Raw genomic sequence first — 20,582 nt, forward strand, 5'->3', positions numbered from 1 at the left:
AATAAATTTCCTGTGAAACCAGAAAGTCTTGGGCAAGACATTGATGACTGTAGCACATGGAGGATAAAATCAGGAAGCTTCCTCAAAGCACTCGCCAGCCCAGCCTTCCCATTTAGGGCACCCTACAACAAAATCCTGCATTTGATCCATTTTAACTTGAGATTTCTCAGTTCTAAGAGACTCAGTATATAGGAATTAAACCTATCCCCAGTAAGCCTTCAGATAAGAGTGTCTCTGAAAGAATTCATTGATGGATAGCCTTGCTTTGAATAAGAATATCTTCACACTCACACTAAGGGTCACTAAACCCTTTCATAGCTCTAGAGTCAGGCTTTTTCATTTATCTGAGATTCATTGTAATGCATTTGTTTCTTCCTCTTTAATGAATGGATATTGCTTCTCTCAAATTTAAATTTAGTTTCAAATACATATTTACGATGTCATTGTCTGTGCTCAAGCAGGCGATTTTAAGATGATCTGTAAGTATAACCAGGCAAATTCGCTGTTCAAATGAATCCTGCCAACATATTTCTCATTAATCCTGGGAACATGACAGGTGCATTTATTAATACAGAGGACTTAGTGTTAGAATGCCATGTCCTTTCTGACATACTAAGCCATTTTTAATTTGCTCTTATCATTTAAAGTCTCTCCTTTTCAAAGATATTAGATAACTCTACAGTGTTAAACATCATGGAGTGATTTGGGGGCTCAAGGGAGAGCATCTTATATAAATGTTTTCCTAATTTTCAAAGGATCCAGGCACCACCCAAAATGGTAAGATTCATAGACTATCTGGAGGAGAGGGAGAGGGGAAGATAATTTTGTTTATTTAATTGATTCTCTGTAACTTTTCTCTTGGCAAGTATAGCTCACTAATGGACTTTGCACAGCACAATCATTATTAGAAATGCCACTGTGACATTTGATTAATCCAGTCTATTTAGATTTCGAAGACAAATCATATATTTATCCTAATATAATTAATTACTATTTCCTCCTTTTGGATTTTCCAACGAACAGTATTTAGAGATATCCTTGACATTTTCATCTTTAGCCTATAGACGCACCACGATTCTTCATAGGTTAGGTCCATTCCAGTGTGATGCAACAGACATTTTTTGGTAGAACGCCAGGAACATTTATCAATCTTGCTAGTGACTTCATTTAAATTTTAATAAGTTATGCATTTCTTTGGTAATTTCTAGTGCTGGAAATTGACAACAGGGTTTTATGGCTTCCTATTTTAGTGTCCCTCATTTTGTTCCTCGTTTATCCTGATCTCCCAAGAGAAATAACTTCTTAGGCACGGTCGAAGAATCTTTGTACGAAGTTTCTCAATTTGAGACAATATAATTACTTCTATTCATTCATTTGTTCATTTATGTAATCATTTGTTTGCTTCTTCGATAATCTAACAAACAGTTATAGGTGATAAAGATAAAAGTATAGCAGTAAATCAAAGAGACAGTCTATATCTTTCTAGAGCTCACATTTCAATGAACGGTGAAAGATGACAAAACAATTCCAAATCTATACAACATGTCAGATTGTGATAAGTCCCACAGAGTGAAATGAAGCAGGATGAGGAGCTTGGAAGGGCGAATTGTTATGAGAGTGATTGTGTTATTATACAAGGTGGTCAAGACGGGCATTGCGAAAAGACATTTGCAGATACCCAACGCCATGTGGTATCTGGGAGAAAGCATTCAGGCAGAGGATGAGCAAGCCCAGAAGTCTTTGAGCAGGAACATAGAATCCTAGAATGGAACCTAAGGAGGCCAGTGAGCACAGTTGAGATGGGATGGAAATGACTCAGAGAGTGGGTGGAAGTCAGATCACATGGTGTCTTATAGACCAATGGTCCCCAGCCCTTTTGGCACCAGGGACTAGTTTTGTGGAAGATAATTTTTGCATGGACCAAGGAGAGTGGGGAATGGTTTCAGGATGATTCAAGTGCATTACATTTATTGTGCACTTTATTTCTATTATTATTACGTTGTAATATATCATGAAATAATTACGCAGCTTACCATAATGCAGAAATCAGTGAAAGCCTTGAGCTTGTTTTCCTGCAACTAGACAGTCTCATCTGAGGGTGATGGGAGACAGTGACAGATCATCAGGCAGTAGATTCTTACAGGAGCCTGTAGCCTAGATCCCTCACATGCACAATTCATAATAGGGTTCACACTCTTATGAGAATCTAATCCCGCTGCTGATCTAACAGGAGGCAGAGCTCAGGTGGTAATGTGAGAATGGGGAGTGGCTGTAATACAGATGAAGTTTCACTCACTCACTCACGGCTCCCCTGCTGGTGTGTGGCCCAGTTCCTAACAGGCCACATGGCCCATTGGTTGGGGACCTCTGTTACAGACCACTGAAAATAATGGGTTTACTTCAAATGAACTGGAAAGCCATTGGAAGTGGCTATGTTAAACCTTACCTGAGACCTGTGCTCCTTAATATCAGCAATGATGAAAGAAATCCCTGTACTCTTTGTCTTATTAGAAATGGCTTACTGCAAGAACCACCCTTCCCCATATGACTTAGATAAGGGTTGGGAATGACTTCCTTGTTTACCTAGGGCAAGGCCAGATGCAGACCTTCCAAATTCCCATTCTTTGTCTCATACACGATTAGCTGAACTATTGGTCCCCACTGACCAATCAGAACAAAATGCTTGTTAATTTGACTTAACCAAACTTCAATTAAGTTTCACTCTTCACCACAGGACCCTGAAATTGACTCACTTCTTAGGTTAAGCAAGTATTGGAGTCATAATAATCCCTCCTGAAAATCATCTACAAAGAAAGATGTCTCCTGTTTAACTGTCCGATCAAGCCATCTGCTCTCCCCACTCCCCCATACCTGGCTCCTTCCAGGTTGGCTTACTCCTTTCTGTAAAAGAAAAGCTCTTTTCTGCCTGACCTTTGAATTGCTTTCATACCTCACGGAGTAAGCATTTTCCCTATTGCAATAGTACCCCTTCCCTTATCGCAGTAACCCTGTTATTGCAAAAGTCCTTTCAAATAAAGTCTCTATTTTCTTAAGTCCAGATTTGTTTTTTATTTGCTACAGGTTTTGAATGTAGGAGAGATATGGATAATGGAGTTTATGAATAAAGGCTTTGGGTTGATTGCTGCATGGAGAAAAGCAGTAGAAACCTGTAGAGAAACAAGAAAGGTAATGGGGAAACCAGTGTTTATTTCCGTGTTGTGAACTTTAAAAGGGTATTTGTAAAATGCCTATAAAGTTTTAGTAAGAATTGATCATGCCCATAAGCTGTATTCAATGCTCACAAATCAAATCTTTGTGAAGCTCATGAATAAATGAAGGTTGCTAGAGGGAAAGTTAAACTGAGTGACATGTTCACGTAAGTCTCCTTTAATATTTATTTATTTATCTATTTATTTATTTATTTGTGGTGGAGTCTCGCTGTATCACCAGACTGGAGGGCAGTGGCATGATCTCGGCTCACTTCGAACTCCACCTCCCAGGTTCAAGCGATTCTCCTGCCTCAGCCTTCAAAATAGCTGGGACTACAGGCATGCGCCACCACTCCCAGCAATTTTTGTATTTTTGGTAGAGACGGGGTTTCACCATGTTGGCCAGGATGGTCTCAATATCTTCACCTCATGATCTGCCCACCTCGGCCTCCCAAAGTGCTGGGATTACAAGTGTGAGCCACCTCGCCTGGCCAAGTCCCCTTTTATTATATTTGAGATACATATTACCAGTAAGAAGGCCCAATAAATGATACAGGTTAAGATGTTAATCATAATGAATGCCCAGTTTCGTAGTTTCTTTCTTTCTTTCTTTTTTTTTTTTGAGACAGGGTCTTGCTGTCACCCAGTCTGAAATGCAGCAGTGCAATCACAGCTCACTGCAGCCTCGAACTTCCAGGCTCAGGTGACTCTCCCACCTCAGCCTCCAAAGTGAGTGGGGCTACAGGCGTGCACCACCATGCCTGTATTTTTGTATTTTTTGTAGAGATGAGGTCTCACTATGTCAGTCAGGCTTGTCCTGAACTCCTGGGCTCAAGTGATCCACCCACCTTGGCCTCCCAGAGTGCTGGGATTACAGGGATGAGGCACCATGCCCTGCCTAGTAGATTCACCTTATTCACCTATTTACAATGAATGTTTGGTTGGTGCCCCTTTTCTAAATCCTATTCCAGATTCTAGGATACCACAGTGAATGAAGGCTCATTGCTTCACGGAATTTACATTCCAGGTGGGGTGATGGATTCTAAATAACAAATCAGTTTAAAAGAGGCACTGATGGTGGTGGGAAAAAAGTAAACAGGGTAATAGAAAGATGCTTGGGAAGGAGAGGGGGCCAACTTTAAATTGGGTGGTCTGAGTAGGTGACACTGATGCTGAGAAGTGGTTGGAACAGTTAGTGCAAAAGTCCTCAGAGACCAAGAGTTGGGCATCATCCAGGAACAGAAAGCAGATCACTGTGGCTGGATCTGAAGCTGGATCTGGAGTATGGTGTGAGCTCTGGTCAAAGAGAAATGCTGGACCAGAGCCCATGGGACTTCGCAAGATGTGGTAAGGGACGAGAAATTTATCCTCAGTGTGATGGAAAGCCAGACAAATCTGTGATATACTGATGCTGGAGATATCTCCCGATTAGAATTGTCTTTTCCTGCATTCCCAGGAGAAGAGGAGGAAAAAAAAAGGAGGGAAAAGGGTTTGGGGGCACTGAAGCCTGGAGAAAGAACAGTGCTTTATAAGAGTGGAGTCGTTCCTGTGGTTTAGTACTATGATTGCTGTTGAGTTCCAGCAAGGACCCTTTGGATTCAGCTATCCACATACATGAAGCAGGGAGAGACAAAGAAGAAGAAGGAGAAGGGAAGTGGGGGGGGAATTTAAATAGTATAGTTTAGGTAGTTCAATGGGCCTGAAATAGTCCACGCATGATGTTGAACTGTATGAAAAGCAAGCCTCAAGACTTTTACTGGATTCTCAGCCTTGGCAAAGAAGGAAAATTTATTCTTAAGGTGGGCAGGCAATTGGTCAATGATGGCTTTCTAATAGTCTAGTAAAAGCAGTTGAAAGCCCTAGAGAAATGCTGACTACTAAGGAGTTGGAGGGCCTGATAAAGGAGAGGATGGAGATTACTGTAGAGAGGAAGAACCAAGATGAAATTTGCATATATTTGTTGAAATATTTTAAGCAGAAAACTCTTAAATAAACTAATTTCTGAATATGAGCTTTCTGTGGGCCTATGTATTCATGATACTATAAATATAACAAATATTTACACATGTATTGATGGAGAGGACTGCAGGTGCAAATAAGAATGTTTGCTTTATATGCTGATTTAACAACATAATTTTTGTACGTTAGAATTTTTGATAAAAAAGTGGGTTTTAGAGTTTAATGAAATACTTACCATATCAATTTTGGAGTTTAACCCATTTGTAAATTGGAAACTGACTGTTATGTGTGTGTGTATATAGTATATATTAATAAATAGTATATATGTCTATGTATTGTGTATATGTGTATATGTATGTGTATATGTATATGTGTGGATATATATACACACATATGTATATAGCTTAGATAAGTTCAGCTTTTGAATTTACTGGAATAAGAGGTGCTTTCCCTTTGTTCCATCTGTAAAAGAAGAAAAGGATCCCCATGGTTGCCATGATTATATGACACAGATGGAATTATGAATTCAGTGTTAGGAAAGTGCTCATGATTACCATTATTTGAAATGTCTTGTGGGTGAGGTGAGAAAATTACTTCCTGAAGGTGCATTTACTCTCTCAGGGCACTGGTTTGCCATTCCCATCGTTATGAGGTAATTTCCTGAAAGGCACAGACTTCTCAACATGAGAAATCCTAGAGCATTGTCAAAAGCAAGTTTCATCCCAAGTACGCAGTAGGCACTCCATAAATGTATGCTGAATGGACAAAATTTGAGCAGCTGGTGGTGATAATTATGATTTAACTACAACCAAAATGTCCACTATGGTTAATTAAATATGCCTGCTCTGAAATATTTCCTTTGCTTTGCTCAGTGCAACATGATGCATGGAGTTCCGAAGGCATGGTGTGGACTCACTGCTAGGTGATGGTGCAAGTTGCAAGGTACACCTATTCCTATTCATGATGCGACTTAGTATGAAAGTGACAGTACAAACGTAAACAACCTCATTAGCAGCTCTTACCAAATGTAAATGTATAGCACGAAGAGTAATTGTTTTACTGGGGAAAGAAAGAATATCTGCTTTTTTATTTTTAATTAGCTTCCTCAGAATACGGGAAGAATAATTTCCACTTTTGTCTCAGTAGCACTTAGTGCAATCAAAACTATTTAATGTCACTATTTTCTACTACCCTGTGTCAATTAATGCACCTTCATTGCACGTGAGCAAATCTGATCCTCTCCCTCATACGCAGGCTGTGAATGAAAGCTGGTTCATGTAAATGGCCCAGAAAAAAACATATTCAGGAGGAGGATGGAGGAAAATTCTTCTCTAATATGCACACACACTACATTGTTGACTGGGACCTAGCATGCAAGGCAATATAGGGTGTCTACGAGACTAAGCCAGATAACATGAACATGAGGCTATTGCTTGTGGATATTCTTGATAGGAACATTTTTTTGTGTGTGTAATGTTTAGGGCCATAGCCTTGGACAACCCCGTGCATTAATCTCTCACAGTATAGTCCACAGGAATGTTGCTCCCCCAAGTCCCATAGTGCCTAGCTGCTTCCATATGTAACAGCCCTGCTACAAGTTATGGCTCTTGAGTATATTCAGTGGAGTGCATGCTCTCTCTCTCTCTTTGTCTCTCTCTCCCACCCCCTACCCTGCCCCTTCCCCTTTTCCTTTTCCCCTCTCTGCCTTTTCCTTCTCCTCCTCCTTCTCCCCCTTCCTGTTTATTCCTCTCTCTGTTGGTTAAAGAGCATGGCAGAGAAAGACAGAAAGGAAAGCTGCCTTCCCCTACTAGAAGAGAAATATCCTAATAATGTGACCATCACCGGCTAGCTAAATAATTCAGGTTAACTAGAAAGGGCTACTAGAAGACCAGCAAATTAGCTGAATTATAGAATAAGTTTGAAAATCATTGATTTCAAATAAATACATTAAATAAAGGCTCAGAAAATTTTGCTTATAGCGGTGCTCCACAGATTTGCTTTAAAAATGTATTTATAATTCACATGTAATTGTTTGTCTGCCAAGTGGGTGTGTTTTTAGGAAGCATTCCACGCACTTTGTTAACCTTCTTCACAAACTTTGCCCTCGTGGAAGACACAAAGGTCCATTTCAGCATGGCTCTGTCCAAATTATGACAATTATTTTTTATAATAATGACATAAAGCTTGAAATGCAAATTTATGTACAAAATGTTTTAAAAAGACCTCATGAGAATAAAAGGACTGTGTTTTCATAGTCCAACAACAAAAACCTGATTTTACTTCAAAAAGTGACCCCGATTAGTCATTTAATTTTACCAAAAATAGGATTTTGTTTGATAAGATAATTATAACTTGTTTTTCCCCTAATATTCCAGACATTTCATAATGATCAAATGAAATGACCACATATGAAAGCAATTTCTTTAAAAACAGCCTGTAATTCCCTAACAATTTAGTGCATAGAAATCATCAATTATTAAATTAATGGAGAAAAACGTATATTTTTAAATATCGATTTTAAATAACTGACTCAGTAGCACATCTCACTAAAATCCAGATCTGTACATGTCACTGTGTTAGAGAAACATTATCTCACTTTTAAAAGCCCAGCAAATATTTTCACAACCTTAAAATACTACTTGAGGAAGTTACTTTGGGTTTACAGTCAGCTATTATAGTTCTATAATTGTCAAGCTATGAAACATCATCATCATGGTTAAAAGTAAATGGAAGCAAAATGTACCTCGTTCCTTGTGGATCTGTGAGTTAACCAGTACATGGGACCTGCTTTCTGAATAGTACCTAGGCAGTTGCATATATTATGTGTTAGAAACTGTTTTCTTTTTATGTACTGATTTTTCCAGGTACAGAATAATGTAGTTGGGTTTCTTGGGCTTTTGTGTTATTGTACAGTTTGTTTTTCATGGTAAAGAGAAAGTTGGGGAAATAGAAATATGTCTCTGAGTAACTAACTCATTATTGGTAATAATTCCAACTGGGATTTTGTCCAGAGACAACTAGTGAAAGAGGCTTCCTCTTCATTCACTCCATTTACTCTCCTGGAAGTATGATCATATAATTTATCATCCCAAATGACAGCATTTTTGAGTGCTGGTAAAACAGATGTAAATCAGAGATGTCCTGGGCAAACAGAATGTAAGGTCACCCTGGCTGTCACTCAGGAAGCTCCCAAGCTTCCTGATGCTTTGCTCTAAATTTTTTTTTTTTTTTTTTTTTTTTTGAGATGGAGTCTCCCTCTGTCACCCAGGCTGGAGTGCAGTGGTGCAATCTTGGCTCACTGCAACCTCTGCCTCCCAGGTTCAAGTGATTGTCCTGCCTCAGCCTCCTCAGTAGCTGGGATTACAGGCACCTGCCACCACGCCCGGCTAATTTTTGTATTTTTAGTAGAGATGGGGTTTCACCATGTTGGCCAGGCTGGTCTTGAATTCTTGACCTCAGGTGTTCCGCCTGCCTTGGCCTCTGAAAATGCTAGGATTACAGGCATGAGCCACCGTGCCCAGTCTGCTCTATTTTAAGATTGGTTAATTATCTATGATTTCTATTTTTCCCTGATCTTTTACACCAGTTCACACCATGTAAAATGACTTCCCTTTGAGCTATCCTTGCTGCTCAGGTTCCTGATCTCCCAGCAGCTGGTCTTCAAGCCTCTCTGGGTAACCTGTGATATCTTCATCAAGTATTCTCATTTTCTCCACACATTAGACCAATATTATTACTCCTTTCTTATCCTATTGCCCCATATTGCTCCACCTGAATTAATGTAAACTTTTTTTATAATAGTTTCTCAGATGCTAATAATTTCAACAGTCTTCAAGACCACAACTAAAGAATTTCCCGAATACTCTTTATCCATGCTACTTGACACTTCCTACACAGAAATAACTTTTGATGACTCTGTGAACAGATAAAGGCTCATTACTTTTAACATTTTCTAATAATTTAATGTATTTCCTCTTTTTTACTTGCTAGCAAGAGAGTTGCATATCATGAATCTTTTCTTTTGATAGTGAGGCTATCAACTTTTTCTTTTTTTCTGCTTGTAAGTCTGTCTAACTTGTCTCATATTTGGACAATGAGCTTCTAATGCTGTCCAGGGTTGTCAAAATCATACTTCTTCAATTCATTTGCCTACTCCATGACTACTGGAAATGGCCACATTTGTACATTATCACCCTTAAGATGGACACAATTTGTTTATGTTTCTAATTCTTAGCTTTGTCTCTTGAAATAAAGGATAGGACTCAGTTATTACATATTCAAAATTTTGTGTGCATTTTGTCATTGCAGGCCTATTTATTAAGAAAGTTTATGAAAATGTGTCCACACATCTACAAGTTTCAGAAATTTGAATTATATCTCATTCTTAGTGGGCTAAATAATGTGGAAGAAATTAATGCTGACAGCAGTCATCATCTCTTAGTCTTCATTCTATCCCCAAGGCTGAGTGTGGTTCTTGGGTCTTTGAAGTCCCTAGTTAATGTCCATTTAATGAATGGAGACCAAAGTAAAATTTGGAGAAAGACCTAAACTGCCCCAATCAATTTAATGATAACTGATACAGGTCAAGTTTATTGTTATATTTTAATTGTTAATTTTCACCATTGAGATTATATAATTTTAATTACAGAAATTATATCTGTATAATATATTATACATTATATATTCTATTGCGTATCATATAAAATATTATGTAAGCTATTTTGTAACTTTAGGCACTCAGCAATTGATCTGATCTCTATTATAAGAAGTGCAGCGTATCTGTTTTTTTCTTGGTTTCCATTATTATACATAGTTAACAAAGCTACATCTAAACCAACATTAAAACAGAATTTGGGATGGGTGAGGTAGCTCACACCTGTAATCCCAGCACTTTGGGAGGCCGAGGTGAGCAGATCACTTGAGGCCAAAAGTTCGAGACCAGCCTGGCCAACATGGTGAAACCCCATCTCTACTAAAAATACAAAAACTAGTTGGGTGTGGTGGTGCATGTCTGTTATCCCAGCTACTCGAGAAGCTGAAGTAGGAGAATCACTTGAACTGGGGAGGAAGAGGTTTCAGTGAGCTGAGATCACACCACTGCCCTCCAGCCTGGGTGACAGAGGGAGACTCTGTCTCAAAAGCAAACAAACAAACAAACAACAGAAAAAAAAAAAAGAAAAACCCACAGAATTTAGTTGGTTTCTAATGCGTTAGTACAAAAGTAAACATTTTAAATAGCCATAGCAGAAGGTGAAACTTTCCTATTATCAGGAAATCAGGTAGCGGCTATCAAGCTGCCAGCAAGACAGTGTCCTTACCTGCAAAAAAAAGAGGAATGAAGCTCAGAGATACACTGACCTTTTGTACTATGTGGGGAAAGGCTGCAATCATTTTCTTAAGCCTGTGTGAAAAATGTTTCTGGTATACTTTATGTCTTTGTGCATGGGAGGAAGGTCTGAGGAAGCCACGCAGAAAGCATCAGTGGCCAGAGAATAATTGCTGCCAATCAGGCCTTTCTCACCCACGGTTCTGAGATGGAGGAGTTGTCATGTGTACAAATGAATTCCTGATGTGACAGGCTGCCATGAACAGTGATATTTGGCTTCTGTTTCTAGTTGATTATACTACAAATCTATTCCTGGAGTGGAGAGATGTAGAGACATTGAAGCCAATGTATACGGGGAAGCTGTGTATTATATATGCACCCTCTCAGTTTTCACCCATTCACAAATTCCTGCCTGGACAAAATAATTCCATCACACAGCCTCGTAATTTATTTATAGTTAATCTATGACATATATGTAATTAGTTGCATTTGTCAATATAATAAAAATGTTGAATTTGCAAGGATAGTAGGCAAAATTCTTCACTAATTTTTGATCACCTTGAAAAGAACAGTTCCATTTAAAAGTTGTAGAGTTCTACATGAAGAGCAACACAATGCCTGAGCTTGTCATTTTTCTTTAACAATGTCCCGCCTAGATTTCTTTTATCAAAAAAGTACAACGTTTTCTCCCACTAGATGAGGTTTCCTCCTGCAATGCCCAATCATCCCTTTATTATTGCCTCCTCTGAGTAGATACTGCATCCTACACTCTTCATGAAATTCAGCTCTTTCTTCAGTGATGAAAAACAAATAAAGTCTGTTTTTCAGTTTGTTGGTTTTTAGTCCCAATGAGTATGTTTTCTTCTTTTGTTTTGTACTCATATGTAAGTCCCCAGAGTACTTCTAAAACAAATTATAGAGAATAGGTGGCATCTACTCAACATGATGAGTCCTGAATACCGACTGGAAGAAATTGACTTTATTTATTAAAGATCCTTTCTATCTACTGTCTTTTATAATATACTTGGCTGTCTGTCTTGCATTGATCCAACCTGATAATAAGCTTTATTAGGTCTATCCTCTGAACATCCAAGGATACTGCTGCTAAAAATTCTTAGGCGAATGGGAAGTAATGACTTACCAGATTCTCAATTTAGGTTTTATTGGTGACCTCACTGAAAAAGCTAACAATAGGATGGATAAAATTTAACTCTACTACGTACTCCAGGATTATCGTTCATTACTTTAATGTAAGTAGTGCTAAGTAGTTTAGCATAACTTTAAACACACAAGTTCTTTTTCTTACAACTATATAGCTTAGAGCCCTAAGATGATTTAGTTGTTCAAATTTTTCCCTAAAATTCTGCAATTTGAATAAATATGAGAACTCCAAGTGAATTCCAGTCTTAACATTGTATCACATTAAATTGAAGAAAGAAAAGCAAGACAACTACCACAGTGCCTTTTAAAAATCCTTCATTCATTACCTGCATTTCTCAAAGAATTTTAGAGTGATTTCAAAGAACATTAAAAGAAACACTTTTCAAAGTCCACTTTCCTCTCAATTCCTGTCTCCAAATACTCCTCGGCATGTCCAAAGCCTCTTTGGGTTGCTCAAAGCAGTATTAACGTGCTGACAAATTCTAGGGACTCTGTATATTAATTCTCCTTAAACATTGGTGGGTTAAAAATGACACTATATAGTCCGAAGACATCACCTGGCTGGCTTGCTTTACTTGGTGGTTGGTTTGGTTAGATGCTGTGTTTGGTGGAGGTAGGAGTGAAGATTGGAGAGAGGCTGAGAGAGATCGATGCTAAATTAATTCCATTTGTCCCTACTGACAATCAACAAAAGATTACCTCCAGATAATACTATCTCAGAGAACACCTGAGAACTGTAAACATTGCCTGGAATTGTCACATTCCAAGAATGCCAGCAATCCCAGGCTAAACCTCATCATCCAAAATAAAGGTTATCAACCCTTTTCCTCATATCAGTTACATGGAAACAATCACATCTTCCGTCTTGGACATTTCAACCTTTAATGTGCCATCAAAGCATTATATTTAAAAATCTGTCTTGCTTAATTTTATAATTAGAAGAACTGGAAAAGAATTGCAACCGTTTTAAGACATTTAGACTGACATGGACACTTACCATATGTAAAACCACATGGCGCTGTTATGCTATTCACGGAATGTCTCACTTAAGGTAGAGAGTAGAATATCTTCCACTTAACATGTAAACAAATGTTTAAAGACATTAGGTGACCTGTCCAGGGACACACAGCCAGTAAAGGCCAACCTCAGATTTAAACCCAGCTGTATCTCACTCCAGAGCCCCAGAGCCCAGGTGTTTTTGTTTGTTTGTTTGTTTTCATTTGTTTTTTGTTTGTTTGTTTGTTTTTTGAGATGGAGTCTCACTCTGTCGCCCAGGCTGGAGTGCAGTGGCACAATCTTGCCTCAGTGCAACCTCTGCCTCCTGGGTTCCAGCGATTCTCTTGCGTTAACCTCCCAGGTAGCTGGGACTACAGGCATGCACCACCATGCCCGACTAATTTTTGTATTTTTAGTAGAGACAGGATTTCACTATGTCGGCTAGGCTGGTCTTGAACTCCTGACCCCAAGTGATCCACCTGCCTTAGCCTCCCTCCCAAAGTGCTGGGATTATAGGCATGACCCACAGTGCCCAGCCAGTTTTTTTAAACAGACAACATTTATATTCAAGTAGAAATTCCACTTATGGTATTACTAAAGAGGTCATTTTAAGGTTAAACCATTATTGGCTCTACAGTAAAGTGTGAATGAATTTTGTTAAGTGGAAAATAATAAAATTTATTTAATCATAAGAGGCTTCTCCGAACTTCTTCTGCAAATGAGATTGTTGTACTGAGGAGTCTCCTAGGGTCATAACAGCTTGCAAAGTACATCGTTCTCTTATGCCATGGCATGAGAATTTAGACAGTTCCTTTTTCTGTGGGTACATGACAGCAAATCCCTTATAAGTTATCTGGATCACAAAAATGAAATACACGATCTGGCTTTCTTAAAGCCTACATAGCCCAAAGCACTGGCCCTTTAGCTGCTCCCTCTAGGCATGCAACAATTCAATGCTACCAGGCATTTCCTTTCTTATGTGTCAGGGCTTATCTCTGAGAACAGTAGAAAGTGATTTTACAAATCGAAAGGAAAACAACTTTTCTCCACCATGTGTATGCATTCTTACAAACCCATACTGGCCCATTTTCCCCACTCTAAAAGCTTTTAAAAAGAAGACACCTTTATTAAGCAAGCATTACAAGTCAGCATTATTGTATTCACACATATATGACAGAATGGACTATAGCGAGAGTATGTACCCAGGTCTTGCAACTTTAAAAAGGGAATGTGTTCTTAACATTTCCTAATGGTCAATTGTTTCTTTATTGTACTTGATGAATTCTTGTTGGAATTTCTGTTGGCTCAATAAACCAAAAACTCTTCAAATGAAAATAAAGTTAATGAAACAAACCAACCCGTTCACGCATTAGGCTTTTGATGAATACCTTCTGTGCACCTAACACTATAGTAGATTGTGTAGAAAACACAAGAAAGTATAAGACATGGTCTATACCACAAAGATACTTTGTATATTGGAAGATGAACACTGTCACACAAGTATGAACAAAAAATGGTAAGACCCTGTATGTAGACAAGTCGGAGGAGGGAGAAAGAGGATCCATGGTCTATACCTGAGTGCCTGAGGACAGGGTGAGGCAGCTGATGGGAGAGGGCAAAGGGCGGTAATTGCTTTGATTTTGCCTCATCACAACTCCAAAGCCAGCAACTGGTTTACAAAACAAGGGCCATGATCTCACTGAAAATAATATTACAAGAGATCCGATGGTGGATCATTTAACTTTTAATGCTCTCATTTTACAAGTGAAGAAATCAAGACAGACTGGTGTTGAGTACCTTGTTGAAGACCACATGGTTGACTAGGGACAGAAATGAGCTTAGAGCCAGGAGTAGTGACTCTTTGGAATGCTTTTAAGTTGACCATTTCTTCTACACTGGCCTCCCATACACGCAGGCTATTTTTTGACTTACTCTTCTATTAGGTGGGTACAAAAGTAATTGCGGTTTTTACCATTACTTTTAATGGTAAAAACCGCAATTACTTTTGCACCAACTTAATAAATAGTACTTACCTCTTTTTAAATTTAGCTGACACGGTCCAAAAAGTGGAAAAGTCACAGTTAATTATTTTTAGTCAGGCTATTGATCAGGGGCTTAAATCAAATACCCAAACTGAATTCAGACTTCACTAATTTGCTGAAGCTTGAAATGTGGAAAAAAGCCCCAAACTTCAAGGTTTGTGAAACCTGGATCATCATTTTGACTGACTACCAGTGTGTACTAACTGGAACTATTTTCAGTAAAATTATTTTACGGAAATTAGTAAAAAAAGATTCAGCATGTTTTACAAGAAGACAGCATGAAGATATAGGGCTGTGAAGTTCTGCAACTCTGTGGACATATTTTCAATTAATTTTCACATACGCAGATATTGAAAACTATATGTATATAAGAACATAAACTCTTTATAAAACAATTCTCAATTCAAAAATTATTGGTTAAAGAAATACTGTTCTTCTACAATTATAGCCCAGTGATAATTATAACCTAGGATTCTACTGGACTTTATTTCATAAGGCAATTCTTTGACGACTCTACCCACTCTCTTTTTTTTCTTTTCTTTTTTTCTTTTGTAGAGATAAGCATCCATTATGTCTCACTTTATCAGACTTTGTGAAACAAAGCAAACAGCAAAAAAGAAGCTGGGAGATGGAAATTCAGAGGTGCAAGAAATTTCTCATTCATATCTTGGCATTTATTTCTCCCTGAGGCAAAAATGGATGGAACCATTTCAGAAGCTGAGTTTTCCAGTTATGCTGAAACTGAGAGGAAAAAGCTCCCCTCAACTGCCAGACACATGGAAGGCACTAGAAGGTGCCCCAACATGACTAGAAAGATCTGAATTCTCAATTGTCTCTGAATTCAAAAATTGTGGAGTCAGAGCTCTCAGTTTTTCTTACATCTAAATGTCAAGCCCTGCTATTAATCTTTTTAGAAAATATATTTATGACCTTCCTTACTCTTTATGTCTCTGACTACCTTAACTTAAGGCTTTATTACAAAATGCCTTCGGTAAGCCTCAGGTTTGTTACTTTTGACTCTTGACAATCAAATTGACTTTCACCCTCTCCCTCTTTCAGTCTCTCTCTCTTTCTCTGTCTCTCTCTCTGCCTCTTCCCACCTCCAACACACAGTAGAATAACTTATTTTCAAAAAAAATATTGCTCTTGTTACTTTCCTGCCCAGCAAACTGTTGCACCAAATGAAAATCTTTTTGTCTGGATCTCATCATCCTCCATTCTGTCCTCCAAATTGATTCACTGTGCATCACGCTCTCTGCATCCCATACAGCTTCTAAGATGATCTCTGTAGTTTGGTTCAGGCTATTCACACTGACTGAAATGCAATTTCAAGCCTCCATGTCTATACCAATCATAAAAACAGAAACCCGAAAGAATCTCTCCTTGACTATCCATCATCTGCGATCCATTTTGAACCCTCTGTCTGCCAAGAAATGTGTCTTGACCAATCTAGCTCACATAAAGTATATACTGACTTGTTTCCAAAATTACAACTTAGAATTTGATCCCGGATCTTCCACTAGTATGCTATATGACTCACAATACGTTGCATGTTCCTTGAGGGAGGCACTATATAACGCTGGATGCATGGCTGAAATGTGCTGACAGTCATAGTGTCCAGCACAGTCCTATAGATATGAAGGTTTCTTATTAATTGATTATTATCAAAGACCTCAAGCAGACAGTGAAATTTTATTACATAATGCTGTAGTTTTTTTTCACACTCTAATGCTTGATGAGATGTGGATATTTACGATCTGAATTTGATGAGTGGATAACTATCCCTTAATAGACAATCTGGTGGTCAGATGTAAAGTAACCATAACTCCATCCTCCCGGCTGTTCCATGTTCTTCTATGTGAGATTTGTTCCTAAATTCCAACTTTATTTATTTTTAAAAATAATTTTGTAAAATGCAAAAAAAGCATTTTAATAAGTAAGCAAATGCCATAGTTATGGTTGCTGCAGGGTTAATTTATTCATCTTTCACAAGCTAAATGTTAACGCATACATCTAAGTGCCAAAGTAATCAGCAATTATATGCACCACATAAGCAAATGAACATGTCACCATTACATTCTTTACATTTCCTGCCTCTTATCCTGGAACAGGATTCAGAAAAGTGTCAATAGAATGCAGGAGAATGCCATGTGTTGTGTTGAGAGAATTTTCTGGGCTGGGGCTCTGAACTTCAAAGACAATTTTGGGTATAAGCTGGTGAGAGAAACCCTGGTGGCTCTTCTTTATAGCAGGGCTTTCACTAAGTAAATGGCCCCATGTGCACTCTGAAGAGTTGTGGAGGATGGGCTAGCTAACTTCCTAACTCTGTGAATACATGGTTCAGCTCTGTGCAAATCCACAATTGGCTTACTGACTCACAAAATTGGTAAGTGAGGAAAAAAAATATGTTTTTTTTTCCCAGCTAAGATGGCTATTATTTTCCTAAGCTCAGCATCCTTCCTCCATTGCTTTATCCAAGCAATAGACCCCATTCCTACCTGTAAGTCTGTACACATGATCGAGGATGATCCCATTGACTCATTTCTTGGAATTATTTCTAGTTGGGGTCTGTAAGGAAGAGATCCTTTTCTCTTCTATCATGGAATGTAAGGAGAAGGAAAAGAGCTGACTGTAGCTATGTGTCCAGCATCAAGTAGATAAACCTGGTCTGGGAGAATAAACCTGATACACTAAGGCAAAGGGTTGGAGGATGGACAGAAGCTCATAATGGCATTAGATGTCTTGACCCCATCGTTTCAGTTATTCCAAAACCAGCTCAGCTTTTTCTTTGAATGTGAGATCTACCTCTTTATCTTGATAATAACTCCCCCATATATCCATTTTTCCCCTAACCTACATCTCGCTCATACGTAATCAAAGAAAAGTGTCTAAAACATCAACCAAGGCAAGGGAGAAATTTTTTAAGCCAAATTTTCATCAGAGAAAAAGAGATTCTAAAGATTTGCCACTCTCCTTCCCCATCAGCATGTCTAGTTTCCATACCTGGCTTGAAAATGCTTGCACCAAAGTGCTTCCTAAGAAAGATTTGTGTGCTTGAAAGAGATTTCTTTAATTTGACAATAGAGCATGGTCCATTTTCAACTCCAATTAAAAAAAAAAATGAAGACAAAACGCTAAACTTGCCTCACTAAGTGCAATCTTATTTGAATACAATGAATATAGAAGAAGCTGAATCTAATTATAAAGTCAGCAAATGGTAATATCAGGATGTTGAGGCTAATGTTTTTTGCACTGTATGATAGTAGGGCAAATTATTTTCAGTTTAATTGTAAAGCTTTCTTTAAAGAGAGAAATGACACATTCTATGTTATCATTTGCTACTTTTAAAAAGTTATAAAAATATGAACGGCTAATGTTTGGGGAACTTTCCCCTGCTATTATTCTTGCATGCAAATGCCAGTTTGTGTGTGTAAAAAGAAAGGTATCTGTGGGAAGTTAGTTATACATAAGTGTCATTAAAAATACTAATAGCAAACTTGTATAGTATTTACCATAGACCAGGCACTATCCTAAACTTTCATATGACTTCATTTTGCCCTCATAATAGTCTTATCAACTATTATTATCCCCATTTTACATATTAGAAGGCTGAAGTTCTGAGACTAACTTCACCTCTTAAAGGCAAGCTGATGTGATGGAGTGGACAACTTTGTTTGCCTAACCAGCCTCTATTTGTTTTTCCTTTTCCTTTCTCATGAGTTTCTAGATTTTGTGGGGATATGCAGCTTATGAACTTCATGGGAAGCTAAGCCCACTCTGAGTATGAATGGGCACAAACCACCCCTCCACCCCCTGCAGCCACAGTTATTAGACCTAAGAGAGCCAAAAAGGGCAAATCTCAGCCTAGTTGTTAGAATGCTAGAGCAGGCTTTGCTCACTCATTCACAAATCATGTGATATGTGGTTATAAAGCCTGGAACTGCTGCAGCCACTTTATCACTATGGGTAACAGGTTCAGCAGGAAGCTGATAGTGCAGAAGGCAGGGAAGAGTAACCGAAGCCACTAGGTCCTTTATGACATCATTGGGCCACTGATCAAACTGGCCCTGAAATCTGATTCACCATGAACTTCCAGTGTTATTAGCCAATAAATCTCCTTTAGGGGTTAAGCTAATTTTCAAATCAAATGCAGTGTAATTTACCTGCCTTTTAAATTTTGAAGACTAAGAAGAAATTGTTTTCTTCTAGTGGATAAACAACTCCACTAGAGTGAGTGGGGTGAGAATTAGGTACTTTATAAAGCTAAATTAATTCCAGTCAATAAAGCAATCACCAACACACATATTTGCTTATTGTGTGTTGGTTAGTGTATATAGGAGAGTACTAATGCACAGGGTGCCAATTCTCCCCACCTGACACCTATAGCAGACATTGCTAGTCAGCCATTATGGTGCTCCTACTGAGCCAGCTTTCCTTCTCATCAGTGTTTGAGGTAACCACAGTCAAGAGACCAGAGTTGGCAAGGGAAACCTGTGATCACTGATATAGGTAGTCACTGATTGTTGCTAAAATATATACCTGGAAATTTGGTGAAATCTCTGCATCATAAATCAGCATTTCTCCACAGGGACACTATTAATAACTAGGAGTTGTGTTGCCATATAAGAAACCAAACATGCTATAAATCACAGAGTAATAAAAAACATGACATGAAAACACAAGTCGACTATAAAATTTTATAATAATCTAGAGTAAATAATAAAATTGTGCTGTGACACCAATAAACAGTCTTACATTTACTGTATGCATTTATTTTATAAGGTATCCCACTATATTATGAATAGTATTTATGCTTATAAAATTATAATTCTGTTGCATCAAAATTTTACACAAAATGAATCTATAATCTGCTATCATATTAATTGAACTTTTCATTGACATTGATATTTTAATTTAGATTGACTTTCTTGGTGTAATTGGGTGATCCATCCAGGTCATTCAAAAACCAGCGAATCAGTCAGCCAATAACAAACCAATTATCCAATTAAGTTACAAAGCTTTTTTTTTTCTCTCAATACAAAACCCTACAATAAGTTGACAGATTCAGAATCATTCCTCTGCGATTACGGAAATACTTAGATTAGCAGGTTTATGATAATCATTTTGGCATTATTTTCCCACTGAAAATGATTTTAAAACGTAATGTCATTTGACCCTCTCTTGCCTTATCAACTCTAAATGTAGGTAATTCCATATTATTTAAATATCAATACTAAGGGAGTATCATCCATATTGATCAATCACTAGGTAGGGGCCTTTTAAGACATTTGTTTAGGCAACCATCCCATAGCCCTCTATTAAGTTATTGTAGAGTCTAGCATTAATTAATTCATATACTGAGTACTTACCTTGCGCTGGGCACTGAAGATATGTAACAATAAACAAACCACACAGGATCTTTGTTTATATAGGGCTTATTATAATAATTCTTCAGTGAAATAAAAGTTAAGAACAATGACGACATTCATAATTATGTCTATCCATAGTTTTGTCTATTCTTAGTTATGTCTATCCATAAAGGTTTTTAGAAGTTTTACAAAAAATATCTGCTATTATTGTTGGACATGACCAATGAAAGCAAATGTGTTTTAATATACTGAACTTTATATAGGTAGCCCTTGTCTTTTCTCATTAAGCCCCATCTTCAATCCCTTTTCCATACGACTTGATTCAGATACAGGTCTCAATCCTCCCAGCCTTCCGGCTCTTGAGGGCATTTCAGCAGGGTTTGAACACAGCAGAACAGTGTGTTCACAATCAGCATGATGTCTTAAGTCTGTCTCAACAATTCTTCAAGGGATGAGTTAAAGCTTCTTTTAAAAGCTATTGTTCATGACCTGGTAATTAACTGTATTTATGGAGAGCCAA

At 37.9% G+C, this 20,582-nt stretch overlaps 1 protein-coding gene across 13 annotated transcripts in view; it reads right to left on the reverse strand.

The window, feature by feature from the left end:
* Positions 1-20,582, reverse strand: part of GRIK1 (glutamate ionotropic receptor kainate type subunit 1) — a 403,064-nt gene that overhangs the window by 249,712 nt on the left and 132,770 nt on the right. The gene's annotated exons all lie outside the window — the stretch shown is intronic.

Source organism: Homo sapiens, chromosome 21 (assembly GCF_000001405.40).
Source record: "Homo sapiens chromosome 21, GRCh38.p14 Primary Assembly".
Classification (NCBI taxonomy): Eukaryota; Metazoa; Chordata; class Mammalia; order Primates; family Hominidae; genus Homo; species Homo sapiens.